The following is a 21,420-nucleotide window of genomic DNA, read 5'->3' as shown; positions in this document are numbered from 1 at the left end:
GTCTGCAGTTGGTATGGTTTTGAAGTTAATGGTTTTTGTATATACTAAAATAAGCAGTATCATTCAGGCCCATAAAATTTGCATGTTGATGCTGCAAAACTGTATCTTTTTTTAACATAAAAAATTTTCACACATGTACATATAAGCCATCTGCTAAAACTTTATTGATAAAACCAGTAGCAGCAGTTTTACAAAATTGGAATGATTTTCAGTTTTCATGAACTATCATGAATTCAGTTGCAGCAGACATTTTATACAAACTGGGGCTAATGCTTCTTCTATGTTTCTGTTTTAAACAAAAAGCAATTAGAATTTATCCTCATGCATTTAAATATCTAATACAGAAATAGTGTTTAGACTGCATAAAATATGCTTTCCAACATCACTGTGAGACTGAACATCTGCCTTAAGTATTATTTGCACAAGAAAAACAGTATAATTCTTCTAATCATGAATTTATTCCTTGTCACAGGTAAAGTTTTACATTTTCTAACATTTTCAGAGGGCATTTCTAACAAAAAGTATTGACATTCAATATTTCACTGATTGGTCTTGTTTAAACACAATACATAATAGTAAGATAGTAATACATTAAAACCATCATTATGAAATCTTAAAGACTACAAAAGGTAGAAAGGTATTCCAGTTTTTAACAATTAAAAAATTTCCACACCTTTTCCTATACACAAATTATCCACTGATAGAAGTAAATTTAGAAATAGGATGGGTCATTACATTCTACAGCTGTTTGTTCTGGTAACAGCTAGTGATACATTCATGCTTCTTTAATAAGAGACACCATGAATCAATAAGTCATACTATGAGAAACACAAGGACACCCACATGGAATGTTCTGAAGATTGTCAGAAGTTTCTAAAGTAAGGGTTCAATTCTTTTGAGGAGAAATTTTTTCTCTCTCTCTCTTGAACCTCTGGACCACATACGAATTCTCTACTGGAAAACTAGAGGAGGAACTATAATAGCATCCAGGTCTGAAAATGCCTATGAAACACTGGGAGAGGATTGGGGTGGCTTCCACCTTACAACTAACAAAACTGGCCTTGAACAATCAATTTGCCAAGAAATTCTTCTAGTGACTTAGAAATCTAGAGGAAGACCAGATTTTATACTAAACCATGTTATACTTAACTATCCACAAAAGTGAAATTTATAAAATTACTGACTGCCTTTGACAACCACCAAAACTCAGCACAGTCTAGCACATATAAATAATGTATTAAAGTAAGCATAGAATAGAAAAAGTACATGTTTACAATGTTAATACATCTGCAGCATCCAGCTGTGAGTAGAATAGTAATATAAAGCACATTCCCTGCTAAGAACAGTGTACTCCATGTAGGGTAAAATCTCCTGAAAATCTCCTAAAATAGTTACATATGTTCAAAATGAATGAATCATTCACATTTACATTTTTTTCATGAAAGTTCTTCAAGGACACCCATCAAAAGTTGAGATATAAAGGAAAACCAATAAAATATTTTAGAACAACAGAGCTGTACACAGTATGCATATGGTGAAACATAAATGTGTGAATGTGAACAACTGTTTCAGATGCCATATGAAGACCAAAAATATTGAGAAAGTCAGATTTATCTTGCACTGTGAACACAAATAAAATATTGCTATGAAATCTTGGATGTACCTTAAAAATGATTTTTTAAATCTTTACTTTTTCTGTGGGATAGTAAAAGGGCATTTATGAAGAAAATGATTACATGAGTGAGGAAAGTCACTTGGGAGGGGAGAGATGGACAAGTTTGATTCTTCAAAAGAAAAATAATAAAGGAGATTGAAGGACCTTTTTTGGCAGGGGAAGAATTTTTCTAAGGACTGTATTCAAATCCACTTTGTAGGGGAGGAAAAGCTATTCCATTTAATACTTTGCCTGTACTCAAAGTTAGGTTGTTCTAAAGAAAGGTCTGCATTCAACTCAAAGGTTGGCGAACCTGCTGAAAACATGGATTTGCAGTTTGTTACATGATCAGTGTTTGAACAAAAAAAAATTAGAACCTAATATTTTATTTCTAGCTCCTCAGAGACAGAACAGCTAAAGACCAACTATAACTTGTATTCAGACAGATTACTGACATTCTATGAATATGGCCCACTGATTGGCAGAGCTCTAAAAGTGTCAATTACTTTGATATATTGACATAAAGAGTTGATACGACCTTAATATAAAAATCACAAACTATCCTGTAGTCTTCAAAAACATTGCAAGTCTTCAAAAATTCTGCAAAACGTCTTTCCATCTATCACCTTGTCATATGTATGGCCCTGTTATATAGTGGGGTCTCAAAGTGTTCATTATATTAATGAAGGAATGAATGAATCCTGTTCCTACAACCACCTGGTAAAAATAGGTAAAATGAGTATTACTATTCCCATCTGATAGATGCAACAATGAAGGCTTGAAAAAATTGTGACTTGATATTCATTTTAGAGCTCATTAGTGGAAGATTTGATATCAGAACACAGGCCTCATCAACTTTAATCCAATATTCTTTATACAACTATACCTTCATCTCTGCAATAATGCCAGGTTCTGCAAGTTGCTGTAGCTACAAAGCAAAGGGCAGTCAGAAGACATATAAATAATCTCAAAATGTTTCTCAGATACAAATCATTGGCCAGGCCTCCCCCTTCACCCAGAGTGACTATCAGTGTTTTCTTTCCAACACCCATCTACTTGTTCATGCAACATATACATTAGCATGGGTTATCTTTTCATTCAGAATTCAGAGCTGCTGTGTGAGCCAGATGCTTACATACCATTTTTAATTGATTTGTACAATTAACTATGACGGGGCACAATCACAAAGCTTCCTTTCTCTTGGCAGGAGTGGTAAATGTAAAGTCATATAAACTAGCGACAGAAGGTGATTTTCTATCATGAATCAGTAATAACATAATTAACACTTTTTATCGACAGGTATTTAACTCATTGCTCAACAAAAGACACTACAGAGTCACTAAATTTGGGATCACGTCTTCATAACCTTCAGAACTTTCTGTTTAGATTCCAATGGAGGGAAAAACTCATAGATAGGGTAATATAAATTATGAAATTATTATATTTTTTCATAAATCTCCTCCCCCAATGTAAAACAAGCTCAATATCATATAGGTGAAATTTATTCTAGACTGGAAGTTGCTACATTTTATTTGATGGATCATATAAAATATATGCAGCTTTTCCTGAGAGCACGCACTTTAATAAAATTTGCCATAGCAACTGGAACTAGAAATAAGAGCAAATAGGTCATAAATGGTGATACAACCAGACAATGAAATATTATTCAGCACTTAAAATAAATGAACTATCAAGCCATAAAAAGACATGAAAACTTACATGACTATCCCTAAGTGAAAAAAAAAAAAGCCAATCTGAAAAGGCTACATACTGTATGACATTCTGGAAAAGGCAAAACTCTGGGGACAGTACAAGGACCAGTGGATGCCAGGGCTTAGGTGGGAGGGAGGAATGAATAGGCAGAGCACAGAGGATTTTTAGGGCAGTGAAAATCTTCTGTATGATACTACAATAGTGGACACACGTCATTGTGCATTGGTCAAAACCCATAAAATACACAACACCAAGAGTGAACCTTAATATGAACTATGCACTTTGGGTGATAATGTTATGTCAATGAAGGTTCATCAGTTGTAACAAATATAGCACTGTGGTGTTCAAAATGTTCACGGGGAAGAAGGTTGTGTTTGGAGTATATGAGAACTCTATATTTTAGGATCAATTTTGCTGTGAACCTAAAACTCTAAAAAATAAAATTTATTAATTTCTTAAAAAGTAGATCTCAAAGACCAGCTTTAACCTGAAAATACAGGTCAAATCCTATCCCAACACTATAAGAGAAAATATTGTAACAGAAACCTCTGTCATAATAAGGTATACAAATACTAATTTCTTATTCACAAACTTAAAATCTATACTGAAATTAAGTTTTAAAATTCTGGAAAGGACTTTGTATTTCACAAAATTGAATTTGCAGCTGCATTCATATGGTGGCATAATAAAAGACTGTATTATAATTTGGTAGAGTTGTGAATTAATAAAGATTATCATAACCCACAAGGAAATGTGGCAAAATTAGTAAGCTTTGGTCAAGGCATTGGCTATAAGGAACTTGACAAAGAAACACTCTCAAAAAAGAAACATGGTCCTAGAATGCAACTATCTTAAAATAACTTACATGAAAATATCTTTTAATGTACATGTTCCTCACTTAATCAGAGTTTTTACTGGCAGACTTCCGATATTTCTTCTCAAACATCAAGGTCTTTTTTAAACAAGATATGTACATTTTTTATTATGGACTATCAACTGGGCAACACGAAAAACTTGCTTTCAGTCAGAATTTTCAGGCCACCAAAGATTTTGAGTTAATTTGCGTGGACTAAGACATGTTTAGTAGAATTATAAACAATAAATCCATTGGAAAAACTCCTGCTTTAAAAATGGGTTGAGTCTAGGAAAAAAGTATTGGTCTATCTGCCAAGGTAGGGACACTCCCAATGTTGACCTTTACCTATTTCATAAGGATGCCCCAAATGTATTCAGTTTTTAAGACTAGTTTTAGTCACAGAAAGGTAAGCAGGGCTCTTTGTTTAGATTGTCACCTCTTTCTCTGGCGGCTACTGTTACCAGTTCACTCTTTCAAAAAGCAAAGGGTAGCAATGCCTTTGACTATTAAAACACAGAGCTTGTAAGAAATGTGTCAAGTTTGTACAGACCTAGCATTCCAGGATCTAACTTACTGTCTTGCAAAGGGCATTCAGTATTTAATTATAAAAGTCAAGAATACTAAATATCCTATTTGATGCTATAATTCTTTTCACTGCTGGAATGGAATGATGCATTTCCTCCCCCAGATACAAAACATATCCATTTATTTTGAATGAAAGCATAGACTGACAAACAAGTGTACCTATTTCTTAATTAGATACAGGGTAATAACTTTCACCTTCCCTAAATCTTCTGCCTTTCAAAGGGGGAAAGAGACAATTACAGAAATACATTAAGCCAAAAATTCAAGGTTAATAAAAGATCTTATTATTTACCTAGATTTCTTATCAGACTCTAGTTTTTAAAAAGAATATTTAGAAACAACAAAAAAATATTGTTGAACTTAAACTATTTTATCCATCTGCCATTCTCCAACCCCTAACCCTGAGTCTGGAACATTTACACTTAAAAAGGTCTTGTTTTTTGGTTTTTTTGAGACAGAGTCTCACTCTGCTACCCAGGCTGAATGCAGTGGCATGATCCCGGCTCACTGCAGCCTTGACCTCACAGGTTCAAGCAATCCTCCCACCTCAGCTTCCTGAGGAGCTGGGACTATAGGCGCACACCACCATACCCAGCGAATGTTTGGTATTTTGTAGAGACAAGATCTCACTATGTTGCCCAGGCTGGACTAGAAATCCTGGACGCAAGCTGTTCTCCCACCTCGGCCTCCCAAAGTTCTGGGATTACAGGTGTGAGCCACCATGCCCAACCTATAAAGATCTTTTTGAATGAATAAATTTTGTATAAAACAAACAAAACCCCAGCAACTAGATACTTCAAGGGGGAAATGACGTAAACAAAAATAATGCATAAATATGGCAATACAATAGGAAGTCAGCCTTCTCATCATCCTCAAGGTAAAACTGGTAACACTGTCACTCAAAGGCATGAAGTAAAAATTCCCATGAAGAAACCTTAAGGCAGCATTAGTGAGCAATGGAAAGCAGTTAGCAAGTTAGCGGCTTCATTCCAAGAAAGGCCTCAGATCTCCATGACTGCCTATGAGCTTGTTCTGTAAAGCCTCGAGCTGTTTCACAGGTTCCACAGTGGATATAAATAAGGTGATTATTGTCTGTGTGTCTAGGATATGGTTTTGTGACCCAAGGGAAACAAAAACAGTCAAAGCACCATAGGAGAGGAAACTCCCCCTGAGCCTGCAGGCATCCCCAAAGCCCTAAACAAAACCCAAATAGGAACTCTTCAGAGAAAACTTTCTATGATGCAGAGAAAAATCAATGTGGAAAAAATGTCCAAAGTGGAAGAAGACAGGCCTGGAGTGTTATTGTTGATTCTTTTTTAACGTTACACCTAAATATTAGAAGGAACTTTATAAAGGGTATATTCATGGGTGTCCTCTCATTCTTCTTTAGCAGAACCAAGACTTCAAGTACATTTTTCTATTTTAAAAAACTTCCAAAGATGATGATTCTATGACACCCCCATCCCCACCAATTTCCCATATAATGCAACCAAGACTCACTGCCAGTCCAAGGCTTCCTAGACACTTGCCCCAATAAATTCAGCCAATGTTTCACCTTCCAATACTAGTAACAAGGAACTCTACTGTTTATGGCACATAGTTAGACTAACTTAACAGTTGTATATTGGTAAGCATCATTGTATAATGATGACCAACTGCTTCAATGTGCACTCATAGCACTCCAAAGAGATTTTAAGTTCTGTGCCAGCCCAGATAGCATAGTACTAGACAATGAATACATTTTGAATTAATGAGAAACAACCTTCACATAATTCTCCAGACTTGATTTAGAGGGATGCTCTGAAATCTATCCATGTGGTCAAGAAGAGAAAGTGTGCACCATCCCCCTGGTTAGAACTTTTGGATCATTGTTACTAGAAATCTCCTCAGCCTTCTTACCTCCCATCTAACTCCTTCACCTTCCCTACATGTTTAATTATTCCCTACTAAAAGCCCTAAGCTAAGTGATTCTCCAATGTCTTCATGTTTCTCCTTAATTGGGATACCGAGGACTCAAAACAGTGCTTTGGCAATTTGATTATATTAGGAGTGTAGCCTCGCACTTCTCATCCCAGAATCATGTTTCGTTTAAAACCACAAGTAGCACATGACTGACTCATGGCACCTGGTTACACTGAACTTGAAGTGGTTTGCTCCTGAAGACTTCTCTAGATTAAATGTCAACAAAGATTCTTCTAAATTCTCCAGAAACTCTCCTTTTTACTCAAGGTTTGAATCACTTGAGAACAAGTGGATGCGCTATTATATCAACAAGCCACTCTTAAAACCCATTTTAAAAAGTAGTATCAACTGAATTTCTTTCATTAGGATCTCATAAGGGAAACAGTGATAATTTGTTCTGAGCAGGACATTCCAGTCAAACAGATACGTTTTGAGAGCTGTGTTATTAGAGTATTTTAAAATGTTTGGCTATCAGGATATAAAATGGATATATAATGCAGGTTTTAAAGAAAGTGTTATCCATTTTTAAAACAGTCTCAGTATAGTATCACATCATTTATTTTACTTTTTTGGATCACAGTTGAAATATGTAGTCAAACTGCCATTGTCACCAACTCTTTTGATAAAGGCGACAAGATGCCTTGTCCATTTATGAATAAGAGAACTGGAGACAAGGAGAGGCCTTGTTTGTGATCGATCAAGAGGTACACACAAACCATCAAGGATTTGTACTCCCTCCAAACTAAGGGGATAAATGCAAAGACTTGGTTCTACCACAGTTGGACTCTATTAAGGCTCAATTTCCTCCACATACCAGGCTTATCTCTGATTAGGCTGTCCTGATGAAGCCTCCTTTATTTACGAATCCAGCCTGGCTTCATGAGCCTATCCTTGTTACAGTATCTGAACGTTGGTTTTTGTTTTTCTCTAGTGTTATAATAACATTTGCTAGAAAAAGAAGACACATCTTAAATATTTTCTTTTTCAGGCATGACTGTAAGGAGGAACTACGGAATGCTAACTACATGCCCGGCTCTATGCTAGGCACATTACATCTGTGATTTCACTGATATCTTTTAAGACACCTAATGAGGTAGGTATTATTTCCATTTTCCAGTTGAAGAAACCAGGATACAGGCTGGCTAAGTAATTTTCTTAAGGCCACACAGCAGAGTTTCATGTAAACCCAGGCCAGGATCACAGTTTGTGCCAACTTCACTGTGCTATGCCAATCTCATTGTCTTAGCACAGTTTCGTTTCTCCCATCTTTAAATATTTTTCAGAATTCTACAAGTTTTAGAAAAGTGATAGCTAGTTGATCTGATATGTATTTTGGTTTATTAGTTTACTCTCCTTACATACAACTCACTGGAGGATGCTAAATGTATCCAGCACATTTATGTATTCTTTAATTCTTCCATAGGTGTGCTGTATGACTTTTTATTTTGTTGTAAATGACTTTGCCCAAATGAATAATTTTTAAGACAAAAATACTTTTACCATTTCAGGATTATCCATCATTTGCTTTGCTCTTAGATCAAATAGAATAGAATGTTCTTTAACCACAGTTTCCTCAAAAGTAAAAGGAGATACCACATGCGTGTTCTAGTCCTGTTTCTTTATCAGTAAAGAATATGCCTCCATCTGGTTTTATGACATTTACAAATAATACTTTCCTACTTACTTTTCTGTTTTTAAAATACTAAGTCCTCTGCTGCAAAAGGATAACCAGTTTTTTTGGAAACCCACAGTGGTGTCCACACCGAATCATCAATTAAATCAAATTGGTGGCTATCAGAGAAGCACTTTGATTTAACCTAATGCTAGTTTCTACTTAAATAGTACTTCATCTGGAAAGAAAAGAATTTTGGTTCTCAGATAAGGTCATCTAAAGCACAGTAACTGCACAAGAGGTAACAATAATTTGTAAAATATCATGAAATCTACACATTGAAAAGGCAGAAGCTGTGTTTCAGGCTCACTGGCACCTAGGACTATGGAGAATATTGACATTTGATGTCAGTTAATTTTCAATGAAGGATGTCAGAATTAATAGTGCCTAAAGCGAATGACTATGCAATGCCATACTCTTTTCCCTCTCACAAACATGGTGATGATTCTTTTCCTGATTTCATGCAGGTGGAATGCCACATCCAAAGACATTACAAATTCTTCTTATGTTAGGGAAGGCAAGACACCCCCACCTCCAACAGTTATGCAGCATCAGCAAAAACAGAGTCCAAAACAACTGTGCATCACACTGGGAGCCAGTGAAGGAGAGGGAACGGAGAGCAGGTGTTCGGCTGCCTGGTGAATGGTCCATTTAAAAATTCAACAATAGTCAGAGGGGAGTAGAGAGTACAACAGCCACCACCGTAATTGGTGAAATCAGGATTTCTCAATTCAGTGTAAACTCACACCCTAAAAGAAGGCACACTATAAAGCAGATTTCCATAAACCCAGCGCATCATTTACTCTTAACGATATTATTTTAAAAGCATGCTCTTCAGGCAAAATCGCTGAAAGACCTACTCAAGCAACAAAAACCAGTGCTGCTTCAATGTCAAATCTCCCTATGAGATATTAATCATTAGCTGGAAGAAATAGGCAAAAGCAGTTTTTTACTGCAGAACCAACTAATTATCTTTCATAACTCTTTTGAAAACCAAATGTAAAAGCTCAAGTGAAAAACATGTTAAATGCATTTGTGTCTAGACTTTGCCAAGAAAATAAGGGAGTTTAAGTGCACAAAATCAAAAGATCTTACTAAACTAGAATTTCAAATAAAGGTAAAAAAAATCAGCCACATATTGTTATATATCTTGTCTTCAGCACTTAAATGTATACAATCAGCTGAGGGTGAATGTTGCTGTATATTCAAGATGTACATGCATCCTATTTGGTGAGTAGCACCAACATAGTAAAATTATAAAAATAAAAAATGTTTTCAGGCATTCCTTCCCTTAAAATGGTGCGCATTCCTGTAAACTGTATCATAAACAGACCATTGGAAGGCAGATCAAGCACACAAATATCTTCACTACACCAGCCGAAAACCTTAAAAATGGGTGGGTCTTGGGAACAGAAAATGAAGTATAGGTGATTATTGGGTACCAAGAAACAAGGATGCAGCAGCAGGAAAATATGAGAGGGAAAAATTCAGGGCTGTCTGTACAATATATACAGATTTTTTTCAAATGTAAATTTTAAAATGAATGCTGCTATTATGTTACTGCATAAAGGAAAGCATAGCGAGGCTGTTCTACTTCCCTTTAAACACAAGGCATAAAGAGTAAGAGATGTGAAAAGCCACTTCTTTGTGCTGCTACTTAATCAATCGCACTCAGTTCTACTCAATGACTTAGCCACGCTGCAAAGACCACTCAGCAGTTAATGGATATAATGCTGGAAAAGCACTCTGAGATCTCCCAAAGAAAGGTAGGGTAAAAACCCAGAGGAACATGGTTTTATTACATATTCCTAATAACTGAGCAGCCATATATATGAAACTCCCATGACCTGAAAAGTAATTAAGGTATTAATTTATTTGGCAAATTCTCATTCTTCCATATGAAATCATTTCATTCAAAGACTGAACCCTGAAAGCATAGTAGAGTTATCCTGTGCCCTAGTCTGGTCTTGTCAGGATAACCATTACACACTGTAAGGAATAAATATGTTCTTCAAGTGTTACAGCCTACGCTTACAATCTGTCAAAACGTGGAGCTGAGGAGGAGTTATGTGTTTTTAACTGTATACAGCCATCACTAGCTATCACTCTTCCCACAGACAGGAAAAAGTCCACAATGAAACATAGAAACTAAAAATAGGTGACTGAGCAATTGCTCAGAAGAGCTGCACATTGAGCGCAGGGATTAAATGTACATACATTCTTTCCCTATTTTTTTATTAATGCCAATTTAAAGTAATTGAAATTAAGGGCCCAGACCTATGAATAAGGAAAGTAAACATGCACTGCATAAATATGTAAAATTAAGTCATAAGTAAAATCCCATGCTCATAACCATACAAGATCAGTATTCTGAATGGCACATGCCCAGATTGCAAGTAGTGACTAATATATGTTGCTGCAAATGCCATAAAAAAATGACAGTTATAGGCACTTCAAATGCTCAAAGAAAAACTTAATGTCATTCCACACAAGCTGAAAATATTTCTCCATTCACAGGTGTTATAACATGTTCACTTTGAAGAGTCAATCAAATCAATATTTATTAAGGACTCACTGTGTACAATTTACTATGCTCTAGTGATGGAAAATACTCAGTTTAAAAAGAGCATGGTTTACATGCAGTACATTCAAAATATTCATATATGAGTATATATAATTGAACATAGAAAAAGGATAATCCAAAAGAACACCAGAAGCAGAAAAAATCAATAAATCTATGACTGCAGTAGTCTTGTTTTTTGTTTTCTTATTCTGTAAGAACTTATTGGGTGAGAAAGACAGCATAAAAACCTTGAAAGTCACAAGTTTGAAATCTTACATATTCAAAAGGAGACAAGTTGTCTTAAAACAGTAGTTTCTGAACTCTTTTCTTGCTTCAAAATGATTCATCTAACCAAATCTCATAGAAACCACAAAATATAAGATAAAAGAGGTATTTAATTAATACAAATTTATTTTAAAAGTGCAAGTTTATAATATTTACTCGTTAGGTAAATAGGTTTCTTTGATAAAGAGAAAAATGTGAAATAAGAGTTTATGGATTAGAGTTTGATTCTTTTATGAGGCTCAGCATCTGATTCATATCTATATTTTGGAGTTTTTTGTACCATATTAAGAAAATTCTGATTCATCCACCTAAATGGTTGCAAATAGTAACAATTAACAGCTCCCTTGCAATCTCAGGTTACTCTTCAAGCAAACAGAGACAGCAGAAGAAGCTTCACCCCATACCCTGAACTAAAACTCAATGATCTATTGGCACAAATTAACTCATCAGTGGTCTTAATTGTGGTATAATATTTTCCATACGGACACTTCACTGTGTATGTGTGTTTTTAAAATTACAATATTTAAATCCAAATCAGACCATTGAGAAACCCAAAACTCCCACTCACAATGTCCTAGGGGTTAGTGGAATCTGTTTTTGAAACCCTGAAACCCTTGCCAGGACACTTAGTGTCAGTAGACAGCAACACAGGTAACCAAGGTGGACACAGCACACAAATGCAGGTTAGCAAACCTAGGATTCCAGCAAAGTGTGCCATCTGCAGATCTGCTGGCCTTTGGTTTCCTTCATCTCCTCCCAGTGATCTTGTTCCTCCTCTCCACTGCTGTTCTGGCCCAGGGCAATCCAGCCAATCATCTCTTTACGCTTCATAGTACGCCTGTTATAAACGGAAATCATCAACGTGACATCAGACAGCTGAAAGAGGGCCACCTGGAAAACAAAGGTCTCCTTATAGACAGGATTGGGCTGACCACGCCGAATGGACGTCTTGCAACGGGACATCTCTTGACCCACAGAATTGAGGAGAAAGAGTTTTCCATATGTATCTAAGACAAAAAAAAAAGGGTGGGGTGGGGATGATAAGAAACATTAGTGCTCTCTGTTTGGCTAGACTAGCTGTAACATTTATATGGGCTACAAATTTCTCCTTTCAACATACTGATCAGTATCCTTAAGCCTGGTTCTTGCTGTTGGGCAACACATCTTGCATGAATTATTAAGGAAGGGAATTATTACCTTGAATACCTAATGTTTCATGTGGCTCACTATCCAGCACACATTGCTGATGTTCATTAGTACTTCTACATGCACAGGGTGTATACATTCGTGCACAGGCATACGTGCAATGGTGCTTGTGGGCAGGCACAGTTCTTCATCTACATTTATTTATGTAACAAGATAAATATACACATTTTGCTCTACATGATTTTTTCATAGTCAAATTGCTATTTTATGCCTGAATTGGAGAATTCTTTTCTCACTCTCTACATATTCATATGTCTGTGTATGTGTGTGTGCATGTGTGTGTGAGTGAGAGAGAGACAGACAGACAGACAGACAGACACACAAGGTCTTGCTCCGTTGCCCAGGCTGGGGTGCAGTGGCATGATCACAGCTCACTAAAGCCTTGACTTCTGGGCCCAAAGCGATCCTACCCCATCAGCCTCCTGAGTAGCTGGAACCACAGGCATGCACCATCATGCCCAGCTAATTTTTTAACTTTTTGTAGAAATAGGGTCTCCCTATGTTGCCCAGGCATCTACATATCCTTTGGACCATCTCATCCACTCCCATAGTTTCAATGACATCTACCAAGTCCACAGGTCTGGCCTCAACTTCTCTCCCAAACTCGAGATCCAGCTGAATACTACACTTCTTCTCTTGAAATCTTACACTAATCTTACATTCAATATGCCCCCAACTCTAAACATTTGCTGTTCCAGTGTTCCCTATCCCTGTGAATAGCAGCATCATTCACCAAATTATCCAAGTCAGAAATCAGGACCTCATTTTTCACAAGACTGACTTCCTCATTCCCAGTCCACCCAATCAGTTGCCACATTCTGTTGATTCTAACTCTCAAACAGCTCCCAAATCTACCCACTTCTTTCCATCCCCAGTGCCTCTGAACTCTGTGTACACTGCAAGCTCAGGGTGCCAGCATTTCTCACCTTTATTACCTCACGTTTCCTCACTGACCTTCTAGTCAGGGGACTGCCAGAGCAATCTCTGTGAAATACAAATCTGGCCATGTCACTCTCACTAATAAACACAAACAAAGTCTTCAATACTTCCCACTAGTCTCAAGATGAGAGCTCAATTTCTTGGTGTAGACTGTCTTCTTTGGCCCTATCTTCTAGTCTCATTGCTTACCACTGCTGCCATTATACACTGCATTCTACTACATTGAACTTCCTCCCCTCCTCCAACCCAATTTGTTCTTTTTCCCTGTCTCATCTGTACATGTTCCCCATGCTCTGACATCCCCACTAATACTCAGCCTCATATGACTTTTGTTCATTAAGTTCAATCTGGATATCACTTTATCTGGGAATATTTGCTGACCTTTCTGACCTTTTTCTCTCACTCCCACCAGTTCAGATAACCCTCTTATAGTCTCCACTAAAACCTAGTTTTAGCCTGTCTCAGCACTTATCACCAGTATTATCGCTGCCTATTTGTCTGCAAAGATGCAGTTTTCCAGTGGTAAAGAGAGGGATTTCCTTATTAACCATTGAACCCCTGATGCTTAGCTCGTGACTACCATGTGCTAGACCTTCAATAAATATTTTGTAATGAATGTTCATGTCTAGTCAGGAAGCTCAACTTTTTCTTTCAGTCTCAAGTTTTCAAACTTGTGCAATAAAGCTAAACCTCCTCATCGTAGAACCCCTCCACTAGAGTGCCAGAAAACAGTGACTAGCGTCAATATAGAAAGGAAAGAAAGCACTCAAATTTTACTAACATGATCTCCTTTTGCTAAAATTCCTGAATGGAACCATCATAAAATAATTATCTCCTCAATCACATTTTTATTAAAATCAATTTATAAATGTCTTGACCTTTATCTGCAACTTTTACTACTAACATGCACACATTATTCTCCTTAAAACTCAAAATGTTAGGGTGTTTCCCAAATTCAATCATTCTGTACATTCTGTTCAATGCAGGCAGCAAGCTGATTAGTGTTTACTGCTCATTTTCCCACCTAACGACCAGTCAAACTTTTTAAAGCGTAAACGCAGATCTCTGTAATTTACTGTTCTCTCCAAAAGCATTGTAAGATAGGAAACAAATTACAACCTGCAGTTTTCTTTCTATGTTGATCTTTTTCTATTTCAGTTTGATGTGTTATTTTATGCACTTATCTGCTGAGAAACACAAGGTGTGAAATTACACTTCAGGTGTGAAAACACTTCTCTGTCTCAGAAACAGGGCTCTCTTCTCTTCAAACTGTTCTACAGAAAAAGCTGTCAGAAAACCAACAATGAGGGAGTGGATTTGTGTTTCTGAAGCTGCATAGCTACATGATTCCTGTAGAAAAAGTTCAGTCCAGTCACCAAACTGATTGGGCAATTGTGCTGCCAGGTATAGCAGTGGGAATTGAGTTAATCTTGCAAACAAAAGCATGCTCATTTCACAAAGAGAGCAATTTCAAGCTTTATCCTGCCATAAGAGTATTTTCTAATTATGAGAAAGGCCACTTACTACCAAATTACTATCACTGAAGTTGGATTGTATGTGTATAACGCAGAGAAATAATAATAATCTTAAAAGCAATCCAGTCTGAAGACACCAGACAAAAGGAAGGAAAATGTTCATTGTTCTAGTTCAAAACGGAAACATCTATTAACAGTAATAATGCACCTACTTCTTAACTTTCAGAGCAGAGGCTGTGCCCAGGAAATTCTGCTTCTGTGGAATAGTTGGGGAGCATGACCAGGGTCTTTTGGGGTTCCGTGACTTACTCTGATGAACACCAGTCAGACTGAATGGAGAAAGACTCTAGCTAAGTAAATATGCCATTTAAATAAGCTGTGTTTTAATCTTTGGAAACTGGTAATAGTGGCTACAAAACAATGCTGAGCAATATTTTCTTTTCTGGTGGTGATTCAGAAAGCTTTATAGTATCTTTAGTAACTCAGAACCATTAGCAAAACACTGAATGGGTCATAATCCCTTGACAGCCCTGTCAACTGTTTTACTAGTCACTTCCCTTTTTCTTGCTAAAGGAAGACGCCACTTGTACTAAAATATTTATAATAGTACATAATCTCCAAATTATTATGGCACAAAAGTATGTCATTTGGAACTCAGAAGGCATTTTTCCAAAGAAACAACATGGTACCCCGTAGTTAAACAGCCCCCACAAAATACCTACCCATTTACAGCATAATTTTCTACGAATTGCTGAGCTGAGCCTTGGCCTAGGGGTCAGAGGAACTATGAATCTCTGGGATACAGGGTAAGGGAAAGGAATTTGGCCATTTAACTTTCCCTTTTAATTTATTAATATGTATAAACAATTTTAAACATATATGAAAATAAAAAAATCACACAAACTGACAGGATATTTAGAATTTGTCACATGTGCTACTAATGTTTCTGCCTTTTTATTGATTTTTAAGAAATAAAACATTGCAACTGAAGATCCTTTAGTCTCCCTCTTTGGGATCCTGTCCAACTTCTTTTCTCAACAAAGGTAATTACTATGTTGGATTTGGAGTTTATCATTTCCAGTTTATCATTTCCATAGATGTATTTAAACTTTCAATATGTAAATAGAGGTGTCCAAAATATATTTAATAGAATTTTGCACATTAGAAAATTTAACATTGTAGTGTATGTCCTTCTAAAACTTAATTTACCATTAATTTTTTATATTATCTCTATGTATACATGTATGTGATTCATTTATTTTATCTTCTGTGTGTAATGTTCCAATGTATTAATAAATTATAATTCATTTTTTCATTCTGTTAATGAACATTTAATTGCTTATAATTACCAAAAATTAAAAAGATTTCAGTGAACGTTTTTCTCTATTTTGCATTATATCAATATTCAAAAATTTCTCTAGGATATACCTAGAAGTGAATGACTGTGCTCTTTACAAATTCTAGACACAAAATCTTTGCCAGTTGTATTAATTGCTACTACCTTCTACCTGCCTTTCAGCTTCATTTATAGTCAGTTGCAGTACAAATGTTTTAAATTTTTGTGGAGTCAGGTTTATTGGTGTCTTCTTTTAAGTTGATGCTTTTTAAAAGAAACCCTACCCAAACTCAATAGTCTCCCATATTATCTTCTGAATCTTAAGATCTTGTTTTTCACACTTGATCTTTAATACAGCTGTAATTGAGCTTTGCATGTGGTGTGAGGTAGGGATCTAAATTTTGTATATGGGAAGGATTATTCATTAAATAATCCATTATCTCCCCACTAATTTCTAATACCATGTCTGTCAAATATCAAGTTTCCAAGCTTCAGTGTCTTTCCCTAAGTCTGACAATATTTATTATAATCATTTTATAACATGTCTTGATATCTGCTAGGGATAATCCCTCTACCATCTTTTTAAAAGCTATTTTAGTTATTCTACTCTCTTGCTTGGTTTAATTGGCTCTTGCATATGAATTTTAGAATGAGTTTGCCAAGCTCTGTAAAAAACAAAACAAGATAAAAAAACAAACTAAAACAAAAATACTAAGAAACACTTGGGATTCTACTTGGTATTGTACTGGACATATAATGTGGAAAAAAAACTGTTGTTTTTACAATATGGAATATTCTTGCTAATGAACATAGTATATATAGATATGTGTGTGTTTGTGTGTGTGTGTATATAGTTTCTGTTTGTGTCTTTCATAAAGTTCTGTTGTTTTTCTATAATTTTCATATTCATCTTTTATTATTTTTTGGTATCGTAGATATTTTGTTCCTATTATAAATAGTAACATTTTAAAGCTCCACTTTCTGATTGTTGCTGATGTATTATAACACAACTGATTTTATATAAGAAATATTACTTTATAGATTTTCATTTATCTTTAATGTTGATAATAAGATTTTCTACAAATAATGAATGGCAGCTTCATTTCTTCCTTTCAATCTTTAAATGTTTATTTATTTTTCTTATTATACTTAACTGCCTCAAGTTTCCAGTCTAATATTAAACAAAACTACTGGTGGGAATCCTTATTTTGCTCTTGACTATAAAGGGATTTGAGGATTAAGAATTGGTATAGATTTCCTTAAAATATCCACTGTCAAGTTGAGCAAGTTTCTTTCTGTGCCACATTATTAGTTATTGATATTTACTACGATATCCACCATTCTAAGATCTTTCCTGGGTGAAAGATATAAACCCTTAAAATGACATTCCCCTAGTCTCTTATCAGTAAGGTTCCACTAAAGAAAGCTATGGCAAGAGACAGGAAAGTGGAAGGAGAGAGAGCCCCAGTACTCTAGAACCGGTTGCAGGCATGAGTAGGCATTAGAAGATGACAATGGAAAATTTTTGCCCATAGTGATCATTAGATGAGAATGGAAAAATTTTGCCCATATTGATCAAAGATCCCTATAAAAAAATCGCCTGTCCTGTGTGCAAACAGTTCAGAGCCTATTGACATCTCTCCTGTAATGCCTTATACTCCTGAACTTCCTGAAAACAGTCTTCCTGATCTTTACTACCTTGTCTTCCAATGTTTAAATCCCATAATAACTTCTGATCAAACATACCTAGAATATTTGCTATTTTCCTGAAAATATGTGACTGATACAGTAATTACTAACCTGAACTGGAACGTTGCTATCATAAAAATAAAATAAAATAAGATTGGGGATTGGTCTAGAAGTTGGGTATCAGGTAATGAATAAACTAATATCAGAGGATATAACAGCGAAGATCCATAATCCATATTATGAGATGGTAACACTTCCACCTGCTATAACTTAGAATAAAGAACATGTGCCTAATGAGTTTGTTGCTCTAAAAAAAGAAATTGAAAAATGGAATGTTAGAAGTATGTATTCAGTACTACTGGCTGCATTTAGGGGGAAGAGGGGAAAAGTTAAGCTTGGGAAAGAACTGACCAGTATGCAAGAAAAAAGAGAAAATACAGAAATTCAGCCCTGGCTGGAAGAGTTGATTGATTCCGGATCTCTGAAGAAAGAGATTTTAAAAGGCTTTGAGCCACAAAGGCCCAGTAAACTTTCTCAGGTGAATAATGTGACATTTAATTCAGGTCAAATATCAAATTAACAGTGTGGTCTTTACACCAGAATTGAATTATCTGAGCCATGTGACTGAGTTCTGAAAAATGGAATATGAGAAGTGATAAATGTCACCTTCAATCATGGTTATATTCAACCACTCCCACCCAAGCAATAAATCTCCCATGCTGTCTCTTCCCTTTCCATGCCAACAATGGAGGTCACATTTTGAATATCATCACCTCAGTAAACGGGGAGTGCCTGTATGTCTGAGTTACAGCTTAGAGAACAGTCACATAACTACTTTGGACTGTAATGCAAAGGAGAAATAAGCTTTTGCTGTGTGAAGCCCCTGAGTCAGCAGGGTTTAATCATTACATCACAGCCTAGTCTATATTAATACATCTTCTATTACACATCTGCTAAGATTTTTGTCAGTAATGAAGAGTGCATTTTGCCAAAAGCAACTTTTTGCATCTATTGAGATAATCGTAATTTTTTCAAAAATTTTATTTTTTAATCAAAAGCTTCTATTTGCATCTACTGAGATTATCATAAGGCTTTCTCGTAAGCCAGTTAATATGGTAAATTACACTAGCAGATTTTGCTAATATTAAATCATTCTTGCATTCCTGAGCTAAGCCCAATTCATTGGTCATTAATGGCTTCCTTCCTTATATATTATAAAGCTAGGTGGACCCAGTATAAACTGTAGTGTGTTTATAGTATGAGGCAGTGTGAGGAAGAGGGGCAGGCAGGGACTGGGAAAAAGAGAGAGACCTTAATCTAATATCTATCTTTTACATAGCAATTTTTGTCCCTTTATATTTATTATGACTACTGATATATTTTGATTTATATTTACTGTTTGGTTTGTGCTTTCTATTTATCACACATTTTTCTACACTTTAAAAAGTATTTTCTCTGCTTTCTATTGAATTGGTTACATTTGCTTTATTCTCATTTATTCCCTCTATTGGTTTAAAAGATTAAAATTTTAATATGTTCACTTGGTTTAATGTCTAAAATTAATCAAAATCTCTACTCTCTTCTATTTTTAAATCTCTTAATTTTTTAAATAGACTTAATTTTTTAGAACTGTTTTAGTTTCTTAACAAAATTGAGCAGAAGGTACAGAGATTTCCCATAAACTCCCTGCTCCCACATACATACAGCCTGCTAATCTCTTCATTTTAATACTAGTATTTCTTTTCCTTGAAGCAACATCAGTCTAAACATCCAGCTGTCATATTTCTTACTCATAACCTGGTTTTGCAATATCCTCTGATCTCTCTCCAGTGTATTTTTTTCAATTTTAAAAAATTGTGTTAAAATATACACAACAAAATTTACCATTTTAACATATTTAAGTGTACATTTCAGTGGTATTAGATTCATAATGTTGTACAAAATCACCACCATCCATCTCCAAAACTCTTTTCATCTTGTAAAAACTGAAACTCCATATCCATTAAATGATAACTCCCCATTTCCCTCTCCTTCACCCCCTGGCAACCACCATTCTACTGGCTTTTATGATTTTTTTTTCTACTCTAAATACCTCTTATAAGTGGAATCATACAGTGTTTGTCTTTTTGTGACTGGCTTATTTCATTTAACATAATGTCCTCAAGGTTCATCCATACTGCAGCATATGTCAGAATTTTTTTCCTTTTTAAGGTTGAATAGTATTCCTTATATGTATATACCACATTTTGCTCATACATTAATCCCTCAATGGACACTTAGGCTGCTTCCACATTTTAGCTATAGTGAATAATGTTGCTATGAACATGGGTGTACAAATTTCTCAAGACCCTGCTTTCAATTCCTTGGAGTACATACCCACAAATGGATTTGCTGAGTTATATGGTGATTCTATTTTTCATCTTTTCAGGAACTGTCATACTGTTTTCCATAGGAGCTGTACCATTTTACATTCCTACCAGTAATGGACAAGGGCTCCAATTTCTCCACATTCTCATTAACACTTGTTAGTGTGTGTGTGTGTGTGTGTGTGTGTGTGTGTGTGTGTGTGTGTGTGTGTGTGTTATAGTAGCCATCCTAATGGGTATGAGGTGGTATCTCACTGTAGTTTTGATTTGCATTTTCCTGATGATTGATTTTGAGCATTTTTTCATATTTCTATTGGCCATTTATATATCAACTTTGGAGGAATGTCTACTCAAGTCTTTAATCCAGTTTTAAACTCACACTGTTTTGTTGTTGAGTTTTAGGAGTTCTCTATATATTCTGGATATTAGTTTGTTATCAGATATATAATTTGCAAATATTTTCTCCCATTCTATGGGTGGTCTGTTTACTCTATTATCTTTTGATGCACAAAATTTTTGAACTTACATGAAGTCCAGTTGTCTATTTTTAATTTTGTTGCCTATGCATTTGTTGTCATATCCAAGAAATCACTGCCAAATCCAAGGTCATAAAGTTTTTGCCCTATGTTTTCTTCAAAGAGTTTTATAGTTTTAGGTGTTATATTTAGGTCTTTCATCCATTTTGAGTTCATTTTTATATATGGTGTTAGGTAAGGATCCAACCTTCATGCTTTTGCAGGTTGAGATCCACTTTTTCTAGCACCATTGGTTGAATAGACTATCCTTTTCCCTTTGAATGGTCTCGGCAGCCTTGTCAAAAATCATTTGGAGTCACTATCCCATTCCCATATTTATGTAATTTCTGCCTAGAATTTTATTACCATTTTGTGGTAGTACCCGCAATAGTAGTCATTTTTCCTACCGCTCCTGTTTTTGCTTTAGGCAATCCATGCAGGCCTATATTTACTTACATGTTAACCAATTTATTTGTTCATTCTTCCTTCTTGCTTCCCATTACTTCCTTCTAATTTCAATTGCTTTCTTTCTGAATTGCATCATTTAGTTGCTTTTTCCTAATGAAAAACTCTGTCAAACTTTGTGGAAAATATCTTTATTTTT

General features: G+C 35.5%; 1 protein-coding gene across 18 annotated transcripts in view; it reads right to left on the bottom strand.

Moving 5' to 3' along the window:
* Positions 1-21,420, bottom strand: part of SYT16 (synaptotagmin 16) — a 300,664-nt gene that overhangs the window by 135 nt on the left and 279,109 nt on the right. For 14 of the 18 annotated variants that reach the window (NM_001367650.1, NM_001367661.1, NM_001367659.1 and 11 more), the window contains one exon: positions 141-12,297. In NM_001367650.1, the coding sequence (NP_001354579.1) occupies positions 11,984-12,297 (314 nt within the window). In that variant the 3' untranslated portion in view covers positions 141-11,983. Of the gene's footprint in view, positions 1-140; positions 12,298-21,420 lie in introns of those variants that run through there. The other 4 variants (NM_001387088.1, XM_017021697.3, XM_047431803.1 and 1 more) reach the window with 3 other exon arrangements.

Source organism: Homo sapiens, chromosome 14, assembly GCF_000001405.40.
Source record: "Homo sapiens chromosome 14, GRCh38.p14 Primary Assembly".
Taxonomy (NCBI): Eukaryota; Metazoa; Chordata; class Mammalia; order Primates; family Hominidae; genus Homo; species Homo sapiens.
This window is presented reverse-complemented; position numbering and strand designations above follow the sequence as displayed.